General features: G+C 42.5%; 1 protein-coding gene across 38 annotated transcripts in view, besides 8 other annotated features; it reads right to left on the reverse strand.

Moving 5' to 3' along the window:
• Positions 1–21851, reverse strand: part of FNBP1 (formin binding protein 1) — a 166693-nt gene that overhangs the window by 107534 nt on the left and 37308 nt on the right. For all 38 annotated transcript variants that reach the window (NM_001439055.1, NM_001439054.1, NM_001439053.1 and 35 more), the window contains exon 2: positions 123–238. Coding sequence is in view for 35 of the 38 variants with exons in the window: in NM_001439054.1 (NP_001425983.1) it covers positions 123–238 (116 nt within the window). In the remaining 3 variants the exon portion in view is untranslated. The remainder of the gene's footprint in view (positions 1–122; positions 239–21851) is intronic.
• Positions 795–924: an enhancer, noted in NCBI's record as "active region_29136". NCBI's record gives its function as "activates an Ori minimal core promoter by ATAC-STARR-seq in GM12878 lymphoblastoid cells {active_cell/tissue: GM12878}" and the evidence as "EXISTENCE:reporter gene assay evidence [ECO:0000049][PMID:35858748]".
• Positions 1335–1614: an enhancer, noted in NCBI's record as "active region_29137". NCBI's record gives its function as "activates an Ori minimal core promoter by ATAC-STARR-seq in GM12878 lymphoblastoid cells {active_cell/tissue: GM12878}" and the evidence as "EXISTENCE:reporter gene assay evidence [ECO:0000049][PMID:35858748]".
• Positions 1755–1854: an enhancer, noted in NCBI's record as "active region_29138". NCBI's record gives its function as "activates an Ori minimal core promoter by ATAC-STARR-seq in GM12878 lymphoblastoid cells {active_cell/tissue: GM12878}" and the evidence as "EXISTENCE:reporter gene assay evidence [ECO:0000049][PMID:35858748]".
• Positions 1875–1944: an enhancer, noted in NCBI's record as "active region_29139". NCBI's record gives its function as "activates an Ori minimal core promoter by ATAC-STARR-seq in GM12878 lymphoblastoid cells {active_cell/tissue: GM12878}" and the evidence as "EXISTENCE:reporter gene assay evidence [ECO:0000049][PMID:35858748]".
• Positions 12921–13070: an enhancer, noted in NCBI's record as "active region_29140". NCBI's record gives its function as "activates an Ori minimal core promoter by ATAC-STARR-seq in GM12878 lymphoblastoid cells {active_cell/tissue: GM12878}" and the evidence as "EXISTENCE:reporter gene assay evidence [ECO:0000049][PMID:35858748]".
• Positions 13231–13280: an enhancer, noted in NCBI's record as "active region_29141". NCBI's record gives its function as "activates an Ori minimal core promoter by ATAC-STARR-seq in GM12878 lymphoblastoid cells {active_cell/tissue: GM12878}" and the evidence as "EXISTENCE:reporter gene assay evidence [ECO:0000049][PMID:35858748]".
• Positions 15330–15379: an enhancer, noted in NCBI's record as "active region_29142". NCBI's record gives its function as "activates an Ori minimal core promoter by ATAC-STARR-seq in GM12878 lymphoblastoid cells {active_cell/tissue: GM12878}" and the evidence as "EXISTENCE:reporter gene assay evidence [ECO:0000049][PMID:35858748]".
• Positions 15960–16039: an enhancer, noted in NCBI's record as "active region_29143". NCBI's record gives its function as "activates an Ori minimal core promoter by ATAC-STARR-seq in GM12878 lymphoblastoid cells {active_cell/tissue: GM12878}" and the evidence as "EXISTENCE:reporter gene assay evidence [ECO:0000049][PMID:35858748]".

The raw sequence follows: 21851 nt of genomic DNA on the forward strand, positions 1-21851 counted from the left end.
AAATATTACCTTACATAAAAGGAAAAATATTTAAAATATACATTTATACTGTAAAATGAGAATATACGTTATCCTTACATCATTTTGCAGTTAACAAATAACCTTTTTCAATATCAACTTACCTGAGTTGCTTTGCATAGCTGAGTTCAATCTCTGTCCTTTCTTTCACAAACTTGATATATTTCTCAAGAATATCAATTCCCCACTGTGTGTGTTTTTCTAAGTTGTCAAACTGATCCTGTTGAAACAAACCAAGAGAGAAGTTATGGTCTTTCCCTGTGATTAACATAATTTCAATGAATAATTCTCTTAACAACATATTACTACATACAAAGTAGTACTAATATTTTCCATGATTATACTTGGGGTGCTTTTTTGTTGAGCCATTTTAAATCAACATTACCAAATTTGGTTTGAAAACCGCCTGGAGTACTGAACTCTGACCTATTCATTCATATTTCCTATTCCTTTTAGAAACATAGTTTTCAGATATAACTGATGTCTCAGTGCAAGGAAAAATGTCATTCCCAGACGCCAAAAACCGACAGGTGAAACATACACACAAACACAGCCACACACGGTTTGCACCTTAACTGTTATCTCTGGGTAATCATTCAAAACAGCTGATTGAATCTGAGCCGAGGAACGGGGGGAAGTGTTACAAAATTTTGCTTTCTTCAAATGATTAAAATAAAACACATGGATTTTATTCTTCCAAACATACACCAAACCCACACTGTGAGCCAGGAACAGTGCCTGGAGCTGGGGAACCAAAATGAACAAAAATACAGCCTGAGTTTGCATTGTGCCTTGGGGTTTCTGGTCTGGAAGAACAAGAGGGAGCCTGGGTAACACAGAACCCATCTCTACAAAAACAATTTTTTTAAATTAGCTGGGCATGGTGTTGTACCACTGCACTCCAGCCTGGGTATAAGAGCATGACTCTGTCCCCCCAAATAAAGAATGAGAGGGGACAGGTATGCTAGCAACAGCTAATGCAAAGACATGGAGATATCCAGGAATCAAGTGAATTTGTCTTTGAGTGCAAGGTGGAGGTGGGTGGGGCAGAAGGGAAGTGGAGTTGGCGAGTGATGAAACTAGAGACAGCTCAGAGCTAGATCACCCAAGGCCTTGAAGGACGAGCTTAGGAGTTTAGACTCTCCAGCAGGCACAAGAGGACTTGGAAGAGAAAGCCAGGAAATGGCTCCAACAGTCTAGATGAGACAAAATAGGCACAGAAGGGAAGAATTCTAGGGACATTTAACAAACACAATCAACTAGTGTGTGAGTGGCCGGTTGGACGTGGAGGCTGGCAAGGGTATGAGGGGGAGGGAGGATTCCAGAGTGACTTTCAGGTTCTGCTTCCCGGAATTAAACAGAAGATCCAGATAAGAAAGAGCTACAGTTTGGGGTGAAAATTAAATGTTGTTTTGACATGTTGAATGAGGGACTGGCCTGTCCAGAAGAGAGCTGGAAACACAGAAGGATTTAGAACTCAAGAAGGGCATCAAGTGAGTAGGTGGATCTCAAGCAACAGCCGAGGATCAGAACACCAAAGACGACAGCAAGGATACACAGAATTAGCAAAGAGGGCCTGGCCCAGGAAGCAGAGCCCAGAAAGGACTAAGGGGGCGAGCCAGAGGGGGCATGAGCACATCACAGGGAAGAGAGAATTCCAGTGGAAATGGAATTCTCCATGGAAAATTTGCTGCCTCCTGAGAGGTAACAGTCATAAATGAGGGTTCTAGCCCCAGCAAAGGGATTTCACAGAGACAGGCCCCCAAATGTTTCAAGTTTTAGTCATTTGCCTGTAAGACGCAGCTATAATCTAATTTCCTAATTTCACAAATCAGTCATGAGGATCATGCGAAATGGGGAAGTGCCAACTCAAATATAAAAATATAAAGCTAGTGTTTAATCCTACGCTTGTGCAATCTAACAGTATACATTCAGTGTCTTACTTCAGACTGTTTTTTGTTTGTTGGTTGGTTTGTTTTGAGACAGAGTCGTGCTCTTTCCCCCAGGCTGGAGTGCAGTAGTGCAATCTCAGCTTGCTGCTGCCTCCCAGACTCAAGTGATCCTCCCACTTCAGCCTCCTGAGTAACTGGGACTATTGGCACCCGCCACCATGCCTTCACTAATTTTTGTATTTTTTGCAGAGAGGAGGTCTCACTATGATGCCCAGGCTGGTCTTGAATTCCTGGGCTCAAGTGATCCTCCCGCCTTGGCATCCCAAAGTGCTGGGATTACAAGTGTGAGCCACTGCCTCCGGCCGGCCTGTTTTTTTTTAAAACCACTTTATTAAGGTATGACTGAGATTTTGGCCAGGTGAGGTGGCTCACGCCTGTAATCCCAGCATTTTGGGAAGCCAAGGCGGGTGGATCACTTGAAGCCAGGAGTTCGAGACCAGCCTGGACAACATGGTGAAATCCCATCTCTACTAAAAATACAAAAGTAGCCGGGCGTCATGGCAGGCACCTGTAATCCCAGCTACTCGGGAGTCTGAGGGAGGCAGGAGAATTGTTTGAACCCAGGAGGCAGAGGTTGCAGTGAGTCAAGATCACACCATTGCACTCCAGCATGGGTGACAGAATGAGACTATGTCTCAAAAAATTAAATACAAAATTATAAAACAAAAGTGCAAAATGTTTGTCTTTATGACTAATAATTTTTAATATTTAAAGTTGATTCTTGGTCCTCAATAATATATATTCCACAAACCCCTAGATTTCAGTTTAAGAAACACTAGATTATGTTATTTATAAAGTCAAGGGTCATCAAGTAAGCTAATAGTGTAAACGAGACTGAAGATCACCTTAAACTACTTGAGAGAACAAATATACACACAACTCAAGCTATGACTACAAATCATTCTTACAAATTGAGAGCACGACTTCGTCAAAGCCCTCTGCTTATCAGTAACCCTTTGTGGATCTAGTTTCACAGTAATCATATTTATTTTTAAAATGATTAACAATTATCAGGGCATCATGGCACACATGCCTGTAGCCCCAGCTACTAGGGAGGCTGAAGCAGGAGGATCACTTGAGCCCAGGACTTCAAGGCTGCAGTGAGTCATGATCAGGCTACTGCACTCCAGCCTGAGCATCAAAGCAAGACCCTGTCTCAAAAAACAAAAACCAAAAACATAAACACCCTTTCCTTTATTTAAAAGCCCTCTCCCAGCTGGGCGCGGTGGCTCACATCCAAAATTCCAGCACTTTGGGAGGCCATGGTGGGCGGATCACTTGAGGTCAGGAGTTTGAGACTAGCCTGGCCAACACAGTCATCTTTACTAAACCTCATCTCTACTAAAAATACAAAAATTTGCCAGGCATGGTGGCATGCACCTGTAATCCAAGCTACTCAGGAGGCTGAGGCAGGAGAATCCACTGAACTCAGGAGACAGAGGTTGCAGTGAGCCGAGATTGTACCACTGCACTCCAGTCTGGGCGAAAGACAGAGACTCTGTCTCGAAAAAAAAAAAAAAAGAAAAAAAATGGCCGGGCGCGGTGGCTCACACCTGTAATCCCAGCACTTTGGGAGGCTGAGGCGGGAGGATCAGGAGTTTGAGACCTGAGGTCAGGAGTCTGAGACTAGCCTGGCCAACATGGTAAAACCCTGTCTCTACTAAAAATACAAAATTAGCTGGGCCTGGTGGCGCACGCCTATAATCACAGCTACTTGGGAGGCTGAGGCAGGAGAATCGCTCAAGCCCAGGAGGTGGAGGTTGCAGTGAGCCAAGACGGGGCCATTGCACTCCAGCCTGGTCAAAACGAGCAAAACTCCACCTCAAAAAAAAAAAAACAAAAAAGCCCTCTCCCTGTATGATTTCCCATAATCTCCAAAGCCTTGATTGTTTTCAGCAGTCATAGGTGCCACCTTGAAAACTTGCCCAGAGGATATGCTCTTAGGTTTCATTCTTGGCCTATTAACAACCTGACTACAGATTTCCCCCCACCATATCACTTTGCATTCAAACTGATGTATACTATACAAAGCAACAGCTTTCGATACCAAAGCCCTTGAAAACAACAGAAAAAGCCCATCTACATTTGAACTGAGTCCACCTTAAAAATTACTGGCCTCAATCCAACAATATGTTTTCCATAAAGTTATCTCTATTCAGGACCATTCTACAAGCTATAATAAAGCGTTTACCAAGATGACAGAGCCCAAATAAGATAGAAGATCTTAATAATAAAAACCTTACTCAGTAACAAATGAGCTGGTGCTTGTTTGTGACTATAGCAGAGTTCTTTTGATGCTCTGTGAAACCTGAGGATGCCCCCACGCTCTCACTATCACATGAACTGCTGCAGCACTGACTTGACAGCAGCTAGAAGAAAATTCAAGACAGATGAAAAACGAATCAACCCACTTACATTCTTGACTAAAATGTGGAAAAGTTAATGGAAAAAAAAATCCAAATCTTAAAAGGACTCCTTTGTGAACAAATATTATAAACGGCTCTTTAAAAACAGCCTTTGCTACTTTGGGGATGGTGTCATCAAAAATGCATCCCTTCCTGCCTGATGTCACATCACGGTGGTTCTGGGGGCCCCTTTGCCCTCCTAAAAATCCTTGAGAACCAGCCAGCCACAGTGGCTCATGCCTATAATCCCAGCATTTTGCGAGGCCGAGGTAGGTGGATCACTTGAGAACAGGAGTTCAAGACCAGCCTGGCCAACATGGTGAAACCTCATCTCTACAAAAGAAAAACAAAAAGTAGCCAGGCATGGTGGCACACACCTGTAGTCCCAGCTACTCGGGAGGCTGAGGCATGAGAATCACTTGAACCTGGGAGGGAGAGGTTGCAGTGAGTGGAAATCGCACCACTGCACTCCAGCCTGGGGCGACAGAGTGAGACTCTGTCTCAAAAAAAAAAAAAATCATTGAGAATTCCGAAGAGCTTTTGTGTGAGTTACATCTATCAATATTTACTCAATCAGAAATTTAAAATGGAGAGATTTTTAAAGGTATTTATTCATTTAAAAAGAAAACAAACCCATTACCATTACATGTTAATGGAAAGAGCATGTTTTTATTTTTTAAAACTGTACTTTCCAAAACAAAACAGTAAGAAGAATGGCACCGTGTTACATTTTTGCAAATCTCTTTAATGTCTAGCTTAATAGAAGACAGCTGGATTATCATAGAGACTTCTGCATTCAATCTATTACGATTCTTTACTTTGGCTGAAATATGTGAAAAAAACACAACTTCACACAGATACGTAGCTAGAAAACAAAGGACACTTCAAGGCCCTTTTTAGATCAGTGCAGACATTCTCCTTTGATACCACACCAAAACTTGACAAATCATAGCTTCTCAAAGGCTAGTTGCAATATGAAATCTGAAACCATAGAGATGCAGTTTCCAACTCAGCTACAGTAAGATCCACTGGTCCACCTTACATTTTGAATGGATCTTTTACCTGTATATGATCATGTAAATTATTCATTGATCATTTAGAAAATATTATCTCAGCCGGGCATGGTGGCCCACACCTGTAATCCCAGCACTTCGGGAGGCAGAAGCAGGCGGGTCGTCTGAGGTTAGGAGTTGGAGACCAGCCTGGCTAACATGGTGAAACCCCGTCTTTACTAAAAATACAAAAATTAGCTGGGTGTGGTGGTGGTCACCTGTAATCCCAGCTACTCGGGAGGCTGAGGCAGGAGAATTGATTGAACCTGGGAAGGGGAGGTTGCTGATCTCGGCTGAGCTGAGATTACGCCACAGCACTCTAGCCTGGGTGATGGAGCGAGACTCCATGTCAAAAACAAAAGAAAAAAGAAAAAAAGAAAATATTATATCATAGATATATGCAGATCTTCCAACTGTTGAAACATTTCTTGTAAAATATTTTTTTTGAATCACATTTGTTTATATCAGTACCAATCTCATCTTTTCTGATGAGTCTTTAATATTTGGAAGCTGTCAAACTCACAGTGGAAAAACAATTTCCCCAAGTTCTAATTTTCACTTTAAAGCTAGAATTTTATCATTGGCAACAAACATTGCCAGCTGTTTCCCTGAAGTGACAGGCTCACTTCATTTATTTTTGAGAAAATGTTTGCCAGATACTCAAAAGTTTGTCTGTCGCTCATTCTTTGAAGTAAAAATGGTGTTCATGAAAAAAGCAGCTAGTTCAACTTACAACTCAGGATCATGTATTTTAGTCTGCACTAAAGAGCTTCTCATCTTACTATACACACTATTAAAAAGATGTATCTTCAAGGGTTTGAGATTTAGTAAAATGAATAATCTTCACTGTTTCATTAAGAACATTTTCAAGTAAAACTGAAATTTTTTAAAACAGCTAATGGTGGGCTGGGCATGGTGGCTCACGCCTGTAATCCAGCACTTTGGGAGGCCGAGGCAGGCGGATGACAAGGTCAGGAGCTCGAGACCAGCCTGGCCAACGTGGTGAAACCCCATCTCTACTAAAAATACAAAAAATTAGCCGGGTGTGGTGGCGGTCGCCTGTAATAACAGTTACTCGGGAGACTGAGATGGGAGAATTGCTTGAACCCGGGAGGCGGAGGTTGCAATGAGTCCAGCCCAGGTGACAGTGCAAGACTCCATCTCAAAAAAACAAAACAAAACAAAAAAAAACAGCTAATGGTGAAGAATATAGTAGTTACCAGTGCAATTTGGAGCCACAGCCTTGATTTAACTGATACTAAAGCATCAGCTTTACCCACCATTTCCTTTGTAACGTTGGTGCAAATGTCAACACGGTTAAAAAGACAATCCTTAATAAAATAGTTTTGACCTTGTAAACTCCATGAGAAGGTTTCAGGAAACTCCAGAGGTCCAGGGACTGCACTTTGAGAACCACTATCATATAACATATATGCTAAAATTTCTATTTCAGGTTGGGTGTGGTGGCTCAGGCCTGTAATCCCAGCACTTTGGGAGGCTGAGGCAGGTGGCTCACCTGAGGTCAGGAGTTCGAGACCAGCCTGGCCAACATGGTGAAACCCCATCTCTACTAAAAATACAAAAATTTCTTCCTAGCCGGGCATGGTGGCTCACGGCTATAATCCCAGCACTTTGGGAGGCCAAGGCAGGCAGATCACCTGAGGTCAGGAGTTCAAGGCCAGCCTGGCCAACATGGTGAAACCCCATCTCTACAAAAATACAAAAAAAAAATTAGCCAGGCATGATGGTGGGCGCCTGTAATCCCAGCTACTCAGGAGGCTGAGGCAGGAGAATCATCTGAACCTTGGAGGCAGAGGTTGCAATGAACTGAGATCGCGCCACTGCACTCCAGCCTGGGCAACAGAGTAAGACTTCTGCCTCAAAAAAAAAAAAAAAAAAAGCCGGGCATGGAGACCCATGCCTGTAATCCTAGCTACTCGGGAGGCTGAGGCAGGAGAATCGCTTGAACCTGCGGAGGTTGCAGTGAGCCGAGATCGCGCCATTGCACTCCAGCCTAGGCAACAAAGCAAGACTCCATCTAAAAAAATAAATAAAATAAAATTTATATTTCAAAGTTGCACATTCTAAACATTAAGAAACTTAGGTAATAAACAACCTAATAGAAAATAATGTTTATTTTATAGGTGCATACTGTGTATACATACTGCTATAGTTTGGATGTCTGTCCCCCTCAAACTTCATGTTGAAATTTGATTCCCAATGTCAGAGGTGGGGCCTAATGGGAGGCCTTGGGTCATGGCGGCAGATCCTTCATGAATACCTTGGTGCCGTCCTTGACGTAATGGGTGAGTTCTTGCTCTATGAGTCCTGGCCAGAGCTGGTTGTTAGAAAGAGCCCAGCACCTCCCCCCTCTCTATTGTGCCCTCTCTGGCCACGTGACCTCTGCCATGCAGGCTCCTCTTTACTTTCTACTATGAATGGAGCAACCTGTGGCCCTTTCTGGATGCAGGTGCCTTATCTTGAACTTTTCCAGACATCAGAATTATAAGCCAAACAAAGATTTTTTTCTTTATTAATTACCTAGCCTCGGACACTCCTGTGTAAGCACCACTGAACAGACTATAACCCATACTTTCAACTATTCACTCTAAGATTGCCAAGAGGACTACAAATGGATGTTTCCAAGCTGTTGGTTACAACCTGATGGTACCTTTCAGGAACCTCGCTGAACCACTCACCCAACATCACACTTCACCTTGACCTTACACTCCCCCTTGACCTTGACCTCACACTGCTCCTTGAATTCAAACCAACCAAAGGTGTGTGCCAGGTGCTGTTAGTTATGAGACGCTGAATAAACTGAAGAGTTGAATGAAGAAAGTGTTATTGTGTTAATCAATATGCAATTGCTACTTTTTACAATTATTTTCAGGTCTGGTTTTAGGTACTATATTCTGATTAAGTTACAATAAGCATGGGCTATGGCATTGGTTTGGGTCATTATATCTTCATTAAGTTCAAAAAAAAAATCTTGCCCTCACAAATCTGTAATAAAAACCCAAAAATTGGCTGGGCACACGTGGCTCACACCTGTAATCCCAGTACTTTGGGAGGTCGAGGCAGGCGGATCATGAGGTCAGGAGTTCAAGACCAGCCTGGCCAACATAGTGAAACCCTGTCTCTACTAAAACTACAAAAATTAGCTGGGTATGGTGGCACGCACCTGTAGTCTCAGCAGTAATCTCAGCAGTTAGGGAGGCTGAAGCCAGCGGATCACTTTAGGTCAGAAGTTTGAGACCTGCCTGGCCAATATGACGAAACCCTGTCTCTATTAAAACTACAAAAAAAATGAGCCAGGAGTGGAGGTACATACCTGTAATCCCAGCTACTCGGGAGGCTGAGGCAGGAGAATAACTTCAACCTGGGAGGTGGAGGCTGCAGTGAGCCGAGATTTCATTACTGCACTCCAGCCTGGGCAACAGAGCGAGACTCTGTCTCAAAAAACAAACAAAAACTAACAAAAAAGTAGTCTTGGCCAGGCACGGTGGCTCACGCCTGTAATTCCAGCACTTTGGGAGGCCGAGAAGGGCAGATCACAGGGCCAGGAGATCAAGACCATCCTGGCTAACACGGTGAAACCCCGGCTCTACTAAAAATACAAAAAATTAGCTGGGCATGGAGGCAGGTGCCTGTAGTCCCCAGCTACTCGGGAGGCTGAGGCAGGAGAATGGCGTGAACCCGGGAGGCAGAGCTTGCAGTGAGCTGAGATCGCACCTCTGCACTCCAGCCTGGGCGACAGAGCGAGACTCCGCCTCAAAAAAAAAAAGTAGTCTTCTGTAACCTATTTTTTGCTCAAATTATGCAGAAGAGTTGTCACAGGAACTACATTCAGAAAAGCTATTTACTTTGAGATGAGGAGACCCAAGTCATCCACAAGGAAGTTTTCCTCCAAAGTCTAGGTCAACTTTAATATGGTGTTTTCCTGTAATTAAAAAGTGTACTAAACCGGCTGGGCGCGGTGGCTCACACCTGTAATCTCAACTACTCTGGAGGCTGAGGCAGGAGAATCGCTTGAACCTGGGACGTAGATGTTGCAGTGAGCCAAGATCGCGCCACTGTACTCCAGCCTGGGTGATAGGGCAAGACTCCATCTCGAAAAAAAAAAAAAGTGTACTAAACCAACATTAATTCAAAATCCCTGGAATAAGCCAATCTAGTAAGAGACTAAGTTGCTAAAATTACCTATGTAAGTGGCACAGACTCCAGGAAAGGGGGTCCTGAGGCCAGTCCCCCTCTGCAAGCAAATCTCTCCTGCAGTGAATTATTCACCCAGTGAAGGGAATGATCTCCTCCACACTACTGAGACTACTTTGGTCTGTGCTATCTAGACTGCTATTTCTGTATACTCCAGTTTTTGATAAATTCACCTTCCTGAGGACTTGGGCATTTTAAGAAGCAGGACTTAAATGGCTCTGTTTAAACAGAATCCCTTAGGATTATGTTACTAGCATTAGCTTCCTCAAACTGTGGAGGAAAATGTGTCAGAGGGTATAGATTTACTCAAAGAGTAACTGTAAGAAAATATCCATTTAAAATGTTTTAAAAAATCAATTTGGTTCTGAATATTAAAGAAGCTGCACTTACAGAAACGTAGAAAGTTTTATAAAACTTTACAGGCCGGGCGTGGTGGCTCACGCCTGTAATCCCAGCACTTTGGGAGGCTGAGGTGGGTGGATCACCTGAGATCAGGAGTTCAAGACCAGCCTGGCCAACATGGTGAAACCCTGTCTCTACTAAAAACACAAAAATTAGCCATGCATGGTGGCAGCTACCTGTAGTCCCAGCTACTTGGGAGGCTGAAGCAGGAGAATCGCTTGAACCCAGGAGGTGGAGGTTGCAGTGAGATGAGATGGCGCCATTGCACTCCAGCCTGGTGACAGAGCAAGACTGTCTCAAAAAAAAAAAAAAAAAAAAAAAAAAGGCTGGGCATGATGGCTTGCACCTGTAATCCCAGCTACTCAGGAGGCTGAGGCAGGAGAATCACTTGAACCAGGGAGGTGGAGGTTGCAGTGAGCTGAGATCGCACCACTACACTCTAGCCTGGGTGACACAGCCAGACTCTGTCTCAAAAAAGAACTTTACAAACAAAAATGTGCCATCACAAATACCACCTGAAATTAACTTCTCGAGCTTTTAACAAAGATTTAAATTAATTTCCATAGACAAATTGAGATTTTTTTTTTTTTTTTTTGAGACGGAGTCTCGCTCTGTTGCACAGGCTGGAGTGCAGTGGTGCGATCTCAGCTCACTGCGACCTCCGCCTCTCGGGTTCAAGCGATTCTCCTGCCTCAGCCTCCCGAGTAGCTGGGACTACAGACGCCCGCCACCACACCCGGCTAATTTTTTGTATTTTTAGTAGAGATAGGATTTCACCATGTTAGCAAGGATGGTCTTGATCTCCCGACCTTGTGATCTGCCCACCTCAGCCTCCCAAAGTGCTGGGCTTACAGGCGTGAGCCACTGTGCCCTGCCAAATTGAGAATATTAAAAGCAGAAATACTCAAATATATTTTTCAACCTAAAAGTGATGAAAAAGGATTACCCAAAGTGACTTCATTGCTTGCCCACAAAAAGAATAAATTACATGTGAAAGGCAGAATTAGAAGGTTTATTTGTTTTTTCCTTTTGTTGTTTTTCTTCCAAACACTATGGTGACTTAGGAATAGAAGGTTTATTTCAAGGATCACAGATACCTTATGTTTTGACAATAGGAGTAGATGCAGATTCCACAAAATCATATATTCATCTGCTGTTTCTGAAACTGGTTTTTGAATTAGGGTGCTGTGCTCCCTGGGTTGAAAATGTCTCCTATAGCAGGAGCCTGTGAGGTAACTGACAAAAAGGGGCTCCAGCACCACAGTGCCCTAGTTGTACATTCAAGTTAATACAACAGATTTTAATTAGAAAGGAAAAGCACACAAAATGAAAGGTCTTACTGAATTCAAATCTCATTAAAATGCAATTCTAGAACTTGCCATTAAAAACAGGTACAGGCTGGGTATGGTGGCTCACACCTGTAATCCTAGCACTTTGGGAGGCCAAGGCGGGTGGATCACTTGAGGTCAGCAGTCTGAGACCAGCCTGGCCAATATGGTGAAACCCCGTCTCTACTAAAAATACAAAAAAATCCATCTTGACCAACATGGTGAAACCCCATCTCTACTAAAAATACAAAAATTAGCTGGGCATGGTGGCAAAGGCCTGTAGTCTCAGCTACTCTGGAGGCAGAGGCAGGAGAATCGCTTGAACCTGGGAGGCGGAGGTTGCAGTGAGCTGAGATTATGCCACTGCACTCCAGCCTGGTGACAGAGTGATACTCTGTCTCAAAAAGAAACAAAACAAAACAAAAAAACTAGCCAAGCATGGTGGCAGGCGCCTGTAATCCCAGCTACTTGGGAGGCTGAGGCAGGAGAATCGCTTGACCCCAGGAGGCGGAGGTTGCAGTGAGACATGATGGTGCCACTGCACTCCAGCCTGGGCGACAGAGGAAGACTTCGTCTCAAATAAGTAAATAAAATAAAAACAGGTACAAACTTAGGCTTAATTGTTATAATTAGTCATAAGTCTGTTTCTGTTGCAGAAATGAAAACACTAAGGAGTCTGTTTCTGTTGTAGAAATGAAAACACTACGTTCATGGCTCTTTGTAGTTGCATTCTGAACACGAGATAAGAATGTAAGCAAATATATGATAAAAATATATGTGTGGGTTAAAAAAATAAAACTTAGCTGAAGTTTAGGAGGCAGCTGCATATGGATGAAGTTAGTGATATAAAGAATGTGGAGGCCGGGTGCGGCGGCTCATGCCTATAATCCCAGCACTTTGGGAGGCTGAGGAAGGAGGATCATTTGGGCCCAGGAGTTTGAGACCAGCCTCGGCAACATAGCAAGACCCTCATCTCTACAAAAAAAAAAAATACACAAAGTTAGCTGGGTGTGGTGGCGCACGCCTATAGTCTCAGCTACCCAGGAGGCTGAGGTGGAAGGATCACTTGAGCCTGGGAGGTCAAGGCTACAGACAGCTGTGATCACACCACTGCATTCCAGCCTGGGCAACAGAGTGAGATCCTGTCAAAAAAAAAAAAAAAAAAGAAAAAAAAAAAGAATGCAGAAAGACACATAGAGTACAAAAAGTTGCATTTTCATATTTTTATAACAATAATTATATTGTGTAAAAGGGCATTAAGGAGGCTGTTGTTGGATGTGCAACAAATGGAAGGGCTCAGAAAGTAGAAGCCTCAGGACTAATGAATGCAGCGGTGCTCTGAGCCAAATGTGTTCTGAAATGAAGAGAAAGGGGAAAATCACAACCTGTAGAAAAAGTGCCAGAATTTTGACTGTGCTAGAGTCTGAGCAGATGAGATTAGGAGGGGAAACTGCTATGGAATGTATCCCTTTAAAAAGCAGCAATAAACTTCTAGCCTATTTTGACGTTCTTAGAACACCTTAGTCACTTTCAGTTCCTCTCTTGTTTCTACGGATGCGGTAAAAGCAACAAACAAAAACAAACATCTCTAACTGCCCCAAAGATGCGGAGTGAAAGACACTGTAAAAAAATAAGATTTTAAGGCCGGCGTGGTGGCTCACGCCTGTAATCCCAACACTTTGGGAGGCCCAGGTGGCTGGATCACCTGAGGTCAGGAGTTCAAGACCAGCCTGGCCAAAATGGCAAAACCCCGTCTCTACTAAAAATACAAAAATTAGCTGGGTATGGTGGCGAGCGCCTGTAATCCCAGCTATTCAGGAACTTGAACCTGGGAGGTGGAGGTTGCAGTGAGCCAAGATCGCACCACTGCACTCCAGCTTGGGTGACAGAGTGAGACTCTGTCTCAAAAAAAAAAAAAAAAATTAAACTGCTTACTTTTTTTCATTAAAAAAAAAAAAACACCTAATTTCTGCTGGGCGTCATGGCTCAATGACTATAATCCCAGCACTTGGGGAGGCTGAATGGGAGGATCACTTGAGCCCAGGAGTTCGAGACCAGCCTGAGCAACATGGCGAGACCCACTCTGCACAAAAAATAAAAATAAAAATTAGCTGGGTGTGGTGTCATGCGCCTGTGGGTCCCACTACTTGGGAGGCTGAGGTGGGAGGATGACCTGGGCCTGGGGAGGTCGAGGCTGCAGTGAGCCAGATTGTGCCATTGCACTCCAGCCTGGGCAACAGAGTGAGACTCTGTCTCAAAAAACAAACCGAAAAAACCACCTAATTTTTTAAATAGTTTAAAAATTACTCCTCCAGATAGGTATGGTATTGTCAAATAACTTGAAGAGGAAAAGTATTAGGGATAATGAAGTTATAAAATTAGTCTTAGAAGGATGGATATAACTTGTAACTGTGTTTGGCTGCATCAACACTGATGAAAGATCGACGCTAATCTCAGAAAGCAAAATCTTGCTCTTTATAATTTAAAAAATGCTCCATTTTATTGTAAGCAAGAGGAGCTTAGTCAAGCCCCTCAGTGTCTGGCTTCAACCTGAAAACGGAATCTTCTGGTTCATTTCCTGATTTCTATGCAGAGATTGGACCACGAAAGCTGTCTAAATATGAATTGGTCTCTTTCCCAAGCTTGATCAATCAGCAGGTGCAAAGGTTCAACCAGCTTCCCCGCCTCTAGCTGTCCTGCATTCTTCTCAGCCCTGGAAAACCAACTGTGCCTCTCAAACATCCCACACTAGTCTCCATAGGTGATTCTCTCCCCCAGAAAACAAGTTCAAGACCGACCCAGGAAAGGAAGAAAAGAGGGTGATAGAGAGAGAAAGAAATCTCACTCTAAATACCAGGGAGAACTTTGAATGCAATCCAAAGACTAAAGAAGAAAGAAGTATACAAGCTAAATTATTAATGAGAAGAAAAAGCCAGATTTTTAAAGTCCTGACTTATTTCTAAACTCTAAATATTTCCAAGTTGGAGGGGGCAGTGGTAGAGTGGGTGCAAAATATTACAAAAATATTACAGGAAAAAAATGTTTAAGGCCCTGGCATCTGAAACTTAGTTAACACCAAGGAAAAAGATTTTCCACTAAAACGCTTGCCAATTCATTCACTTCCCACTTTAAGATGGCTCTGCAAACACATAGGTGATGTCCCTTTCTAAGAGAAGGGATCCCACTTCTCAACCCCACTGCCATAGTTGAGCATCTGACTCAAGGACTTGCATGAAAAACTCTATGGGAATAGGTGCTAGAGCTAAAAGGTAAAAATTGCTAAGAGGGGCTGGACGCAGTGGCTCACGCCTATAATCCTGGCACTTTGGGAGGCCGAGGCAAGCGGATCACTTGAGGTCAGGAGTTTGAGACCAGCCTGGCCAACATGGGCATCTCTACTAAACCTCATTTCTACTAAAAAAAAAAATGGCTGGGCACAATGACTCACGCCTGTAATTCCAGCACTTCAGGAGACCAAGGCGGGCGGATCACAAGGTCAAGAGATTGAGACTATCCTGGCCAACATGGTGAAACCCCCAACTCTACTAAAAATACAAAAATTAGCTGGGTGTGGTGGCATGGGCCTGTAGTCTCATCTACTCGGGAGGCTGAGGCAGGATAATTGCTTGAACCCGGGAGGTGGAGGCTGCAGTCAGCCGAGATCGTGCCACTGCACTCCAGCCTGGTAACAGAGCAAGACTCCGTCTCATAACAAAAACAAAAAACAAAAATTAGCCTGGCATGGCGGCACGCACCTGCACCTGTAATCCCAGCTACTCAGGAGGCTGAGGCAAGAGAATCCATTGAATTTAAGAGGAGGAGGTTGCAATGAGCCGAGATTGTGCCACTGTACTCCAGCCTGGGTGACAGAGCAAGACCCAGTCTCAAAAAAAAAAAAAAAAAAAAATCGCTAAGAGGCAATTTTTGTCCATGTGCATGCCAAATTAGTGGAAAAAACGCTAATCTGCAGAGATGAAGAGGAAAGCAAACACAAGACATTATTACCCCCATATGTTCAAAATGTACCTGTGGACTTTCCACTGGCCAATTTAAGTCCCTTGTGAGACTGGCCTGTTCATCCAGCCACTGGTTCTGTGAGATATCCCTTGCAACAGACACTTTTGTCTGAGCATCTTGGCTGACAATCTAGCAGCTATCCCCCATCCATCCCATCTTCCCTTTGGCAGAGCACCTGTCTTATTACAGGATCACTTTCTCCATCTCTCTTGCAACACAGACATGGGCATGTGACATTACCCTGGCTAACCAGATGTAGCAGATATCTACTAAACACGTACTGAGAAAGGTTTCCTCCCAAAAAAACCCGGATACTTTTTGTATTTTTAGTAGAGATGGGGTTTCACCATGTTGGAAAGGCTGGTCTCCAACTCTTAACCTAAAGTGATCTGCCTGCCTCGGCCTCCCAAAGTGCTGGAATTGCAGGCATGAGCCACTGCACCCGGCTCCCTCCTCTTCTTTACTTGACGTGGTCATAGCTACCTGTGATGCTTGAAATGGCAGAGCCAGAGATGGAAAGCACCTGGCTTTTTGATGACAATTTCTCAGCTATTACTGAACTGAGACACCAACCTGGAATTTCCCTGCCTCTGGACTCTTTGTCATGTGAGATAGAAAATGTGCCCTTGTTGTCTAAGCCACTTTTCTTTGGGTCTTTTTTTTTTTTTTGTCTCCTTCCAAAATGTTGCTATAATTCAACCATTCTTATTGAGAGCTCACTCTCAGCCAAGCTCTGTACTGGCACTGGAATGAGAGTAGGGAACAGTAGAGTGCTAATGAGCACTCTAGGCTAAAAGAGCAGTAGAAACATAGACTTGCAGGGCTCAAGATAGACATGGGATTAGGGAAGGCCTTTCAGAGGGAGGGATTTCTAAGAGGAAATGAGAAGAATAAGTAAAAATCAGCCAAGCCAAACAGACAGCAGAGATGGAAGGAAGGTGGAAAAGCAAGAGACAGTTAGGTGGGCGTGGTGGCAGGCACCTGTAGTCCCAGCTACTCGGGAGGCTGAGGCGGGAGAACAGCGTGAACCCAGGAGGCGGAGCTTGCAGTGAGCTGAGATGGTGCCATTGCACTCCAGCCTGGGTGACAGAGTGAGACTCCATCTCAAAAAAAAAAAAAAAAAAAAAAAAAAAAATATATATATATATATATATATATAAAATATATATAACATTATTACTTATAACAGCATGAAGAATTACAAGTAGACAGAAACAAACATAATAAAAGGTGTGCAAGAACATAATAGAGCAAAGTATAAAACTTTATTAAAATGCATTTGCTAAGGTTTTAATGAATGTATCCTCCAAAAGTCATGCTGGAACTTAACCTCCAAGGTGACAGTACTAAGAGCTGGTGCCTATGGGAACTGATTAGGCTATGAAGGCTCCACCCTCATGGATGGGATTAATGCCCATATGAAAGATGCTTCAGAGAGCTGCTGTTGCTCTTCCATCCCTTCCCCATGTGGCAACACCAACACCTAGATAGCACCATCTGAGGAATGGGCCTTCACCAGTCACTGAACCTGCTGGCACCTTGATCTTGAACTTCCCAGCCTCCAAAACTGTGAGAAATAAATTTCTGTTGTTTATAAATTATCCACTCTCAGGTATTTTGTTATAGCAGCACAAATGGACTAAGACAACATTAAAGAAAAACAGAATAAATATAGAAATATACCATGTTCATGGATTGGAAGGCCATATATTATAGATATATCAATCCTCCCCTAGATTATCTACAGATTCAATGCAGTTCAATTAAAACCCCAACAAGTTTTCTGGAGAACAAAATTCTAAGATTTAAATCAAGATGCAAAGGTCAATTAATAGCCAAAACACTCTTGAAGAACAACAAGGTAGGAATAGTAGCCACACCAGATACTGACTTATTCTAAAGTTAATTAAGAGGCTTTGTGCTATTGGCCAGGGACAAAGACATAGACAAATACAAAGAATTGAAAGGCCAGGAACAGGTCCATGCAAAAATGACTTTTGATTTAGGATAGATGTAGCCATGTAGAAAAGATGCAGAGCCTAATGGCTAAGAATCTGGATTCTGGAACTAGAATAAATTGGTTTGAATGCTGGCTCTTTGACTACTAGGTATGCCACATGAAGCAAGTATTTAACTTCTGTGTTGCTGTTTCTCAACTCAAAAGAGGATAGAAGCAGGACCTACTCACTGAGTTACTAAAAGGATTAGTAAATTACCTCATGCTTAGCATATGCCTGGCACATGGTAAGCCCTCAGTAAGTGTTAATGCTATCATTTTCATCATCATCATCATCATTGTCATCAACCAGTGGGGAAAGAACAAGCTGTTCAATAAGAGGTACGGGGATAATTGCATATCTATCGGGAAAAATGAGATAAAACCTCTACTTTTAAAAATATACAAAAACTTATTCCAGGTGGATTAAGAATTAAGAACCTAAATGTAAAAGGCTAGGCTATAAAACTTTTAGGAGACAATATAGGATAATATCTTTTGGATCCTGAGGTAGGAAATTTGTTTTGTTTTGTTTTGTTTTGTTTTTTAATTGAGATGGAGTCTCGCTCTGTCGCCCAGGCTGGAGTGCAGTGGTGCGATCTCGGCTCACTGCAACCTCCATCTCCTGGGTTCAAGCGATTCTCCTACCTCAGCCTCCCAAGTAGCTGAGAATACAGGCGCGTGCCACCACACCAGGCTAATTTTTTGTATTTTTAGTGGAGACAGGGTTTCACCATGTTAGCCAGGATGGTCTTGATCTTCTGACCTCGTGATCTGCCCACCTCAGCCTCCCAAAGTGCTGGGAGTAGAGGCGTGAGCCACCACGCCCAGCCAGAAATGATTTTTAAACAAGACATCAAAAAGTGTACACCATAATGAAAAAAGTCAATAAAACTAAAAAACTAAAAAATTCCGTTCACGAAAAGATAGCATTGAGGAAAGTGAACATAAAAAATACAAACTGGGAGAAGATATTTGTAACACATATGATCAACAGAGAATTGGTATCTAGAATATAGATAGCACTCCTTCAATTGTTCTATTTTTTATGTTTTTAAGAGACAGGATATCACTATGTTGCCCAGGCTGGTCTTGAATACCTGGGCTCAAGCAATCCCCCTGCCTCGGCCTCCCAAAGTGCTGGGATTACAGGCATGAGCTACTGTGCCTGGCTCCAACTGTTCTAAAAAGAGTCAAATAACTTAACAGGAAAAGGGGCAAAAATAAATAAATAAGAATTTTAAGCAATAAATATATTTAGCTTAATTAGTAATCAGGGAAATGCATATTAAAACCACAATGAAATACCATTTCATATCCATCAGTCTGGTAAAAATTTAAAGTCAGAGAGCACCAAGTGTAAACAAGGACGTGGTGTAATGGCAACATTCACACACTGCTGGGGACCTCGGAAAACAGGTTGGTTTTACCTAGTAAAGGTGAACCTGTGCCTCTGTATGACATCTCTAGGTATATATCTTAAGGTTTAGGAGCTAGACAATAACTCTTGCTCATGTGCACCAAGAGACATGCATATGAATGTTTATAGCAGCATAATTCATGCTAAAAAAAATATTGGCAACAACCTGCTTTGTTGTCAATGTGTTCCCCAAAGTTCATGTGTCAGAAACTTAATGGGAAATGGGGCCAAATAAAAGATGGCAGAGCCCTCCTGAATGGTTTAATATCATTATCAAAGGAGTGGATTAGTTATTTCAAGAGTGGGCTTGTTACAAAAGGGAGTTTGATGCCCTCTTGCTCTCTTGCCCTAAGTGGCAAAAGGCCTTCAACTGGTGCCAGCACCATATTCTTGGACTTTCCAACCTCTAGATTCATGAGCCAAATAATTTTCTACTGTTTATAAATTACCCAGGTTGTGGTATTCTGCTATAGCAACACAAAATAGACTAAGACAAACCCACCTGTCCATCTGATTCTACTTGAAGTCCAAAAATAGGCAAAACTAAACAATGTATTTTACTGGTATATTCATACAGGATGAAACTGTAAAAATAACAGAATATGTTCAATGCAAAATTCTGAACACTCAAATAGGGTGGCAGAGGCTTAGAAAGGGATGTGATCAGGGAGGGGCCAGCAGGAGATTCTGGAATAATGTTCTATTTCTTATTTCTTTCTTTCTTTTTTTTTTTTTTTTCTTTTTGAGACGGAGTCTTGCTGTGCCGCCCAGGCTGGAGTGCAATGGCGCAATCTCGGTTCACGGCAACCTCTGCCTCCGAGGTTCAAGCAACCCTCCTGCCTCAGCCTCCCAAGTAGCTGGGAATACAGGTGCACGCCACCACGCCTGGCTAATTTTTGTATTTTTAGTAGAGATGGGGTTTTGCCATATTGGCCAGGCTGGTCTCAAACTCCTGACCTCAAGCGATCCACCTGCCTCGGCCCCCCAAAGTGCTGGGATTACAGGCATGAGCCACCGTGCCCAGCCTAATGTTCTATTTCTTAGGCTGGGTGGCATGTACATGGATGTGCATTTTACTGCTATTTTTGTACATATTATTCTATACATACATATTTTCATACATTCTTTTGTAATATGCCATAATTATTTATTAGTTTACAATTTGGTTGATAGGAAAATCTTCAGGATAAGAGATACTTAAGGTCACTTGAGCCTCTGCCAATTAGAGATCAAAAATGAAGGTAAAACATTTATGAAGGAAAAACTTAAGTGAATAGAAAAAGCTATTACATAAAGTATTGAACTATTACTTTTTCCTTGATTGATGTTCCTCTGTTTTCTTCCCTTAAAAAAAAAAACATTTTTCAGAAAATGGGCATCATTTAGTACCCAACTATGGATTGATGATTGATTGCAAAAAAGACTTCACCCTTGGGGGAAAAACTTCTTAAAAAAAAAAAAAATCCCGGACGATTACTGTCTAAAGGCCAAAAATATTTTTCATATACCACCACAGTAATATTAATATAATAAATACTGTCAAATAAAATGTTCTTAAAAGAGAACACAAAACATTACAGTAAGCAACATATGCTGTTTCTACTGTATGCCCAAAACACATACACCCATCCATTCTTCCAACAAATATTTTATTGAGCACTTACTATGCCAAATACTATTCTAGAAACTGAGGGCCTAGCAGGTAAAAGAAGACACAACTTCTCTATTCTCATGGAGCTCACATACTAGTAGGTCTTTACAGTACAGAGCTATGAAGAAATATCAGAAAGATTAATTCAAAATTTATTTACATTCCCATGAGGAAAACCAATAGGTCTCTGTATATGAACATTTTAAAGTGTCTTGATACCTTCTAGCAGGAATGATAATAAAACTATTTAACAATCCATTATCAATAGACTCCCTGTCCAATCAGAAGAGGCCAGCAGTACCAAGCATCCTGGCTAAAAATCCAGCCTCGACTACTGCCCAGGTCTTTACTAGAAAAGGTGAACCAATTACACACTCACCAACAGTATACAAGGATCCCTAACTTGCTGAACCCTGACTAGGACTGAATACTACCATTTGCAAAACAAAAAAACTACCTTATTTGGTAGGCAAATTGCTTTTTTTGCATTTATTTCTTTTGTTTTGTTTTGTTTTGGAGATAGGGTCTCACTCTGTTGCCTGGACTGGAATGCATTGGCACAATTTCGGCTCGCTGTAACCTCAACCTCCTGGGCTCAGGTGATCCTCCCACCTCAGCCTCCTGAGTAGCTGGGACTACAGGCGCAAGCCACCATGCCTGGCTAATTTTTGTATCTTTTGTAGAGATGGGGTTTTGCCATATTGCCCAGGCTGGTCTTGAACTCCTGGGCTCAAGCAATGCACCTGCCTCGGTCTCCCAAAGTGCATTTATTTAATTATTCATGAAATTAATGTTTTAGACATTTTCATTTGGAATTTGGAATTCCTTTTGTAACTGTTCTCTTCTTAATCTTTGTTCATTCATCTATTAGAAATTTTGTATTTATTGTTTTGCATAAACTTCTTATATATTAAGGTAACTGTCTTATTTTGAATAAATGTTTATCTAGTTTGATTTAAAATTTTATATATTATTGTTACAGACTGAATGTTTATGCCTCCCTTTCCCAATTCATATGTTGAAACCTAATCCCCAGTGCAGTGGTACCTGGAGGTGGGCCCTTTGGGAGGTGATTAGGTCATGAGGGTGGGCCCCTTGTGAATGGGATTAGTGCCCTTTTAATACTCCTTTTGTGAAACTCCACTTACCAGGAGGTGCTCTTGGCATTGTTCAGGTAGTTCTAACATGAGTTTCTTCTTCACAATACCTGATTCATCACATCCCCCACTATCAGTCAAGACATACTGCACTACCAATCTAGATGTCCTTTGAAAATATTTGCTGAGGCCGGGCATGGGGGCTCACACCTGTAATCCCAGCACTTTGGGAGGCCGAGGCTGGCGGATCACCTGAGGCTGGGAGTTCAACACCAGCCTGACCAACATGGAGAAACCC

Source organism: Homo sapiens, chromosome 9, assembly GCF_000001405.40.
Source record: "Homo sapiens chromosome 9, GRCh38.p14 Primary Assembly".
Taxonomy (NCBI): domain Eukaryota; kingdom Metazoa; phylum Chordata; class Mammalia; order Primates; family Hominidae; genus Homo; species Homo sapiens.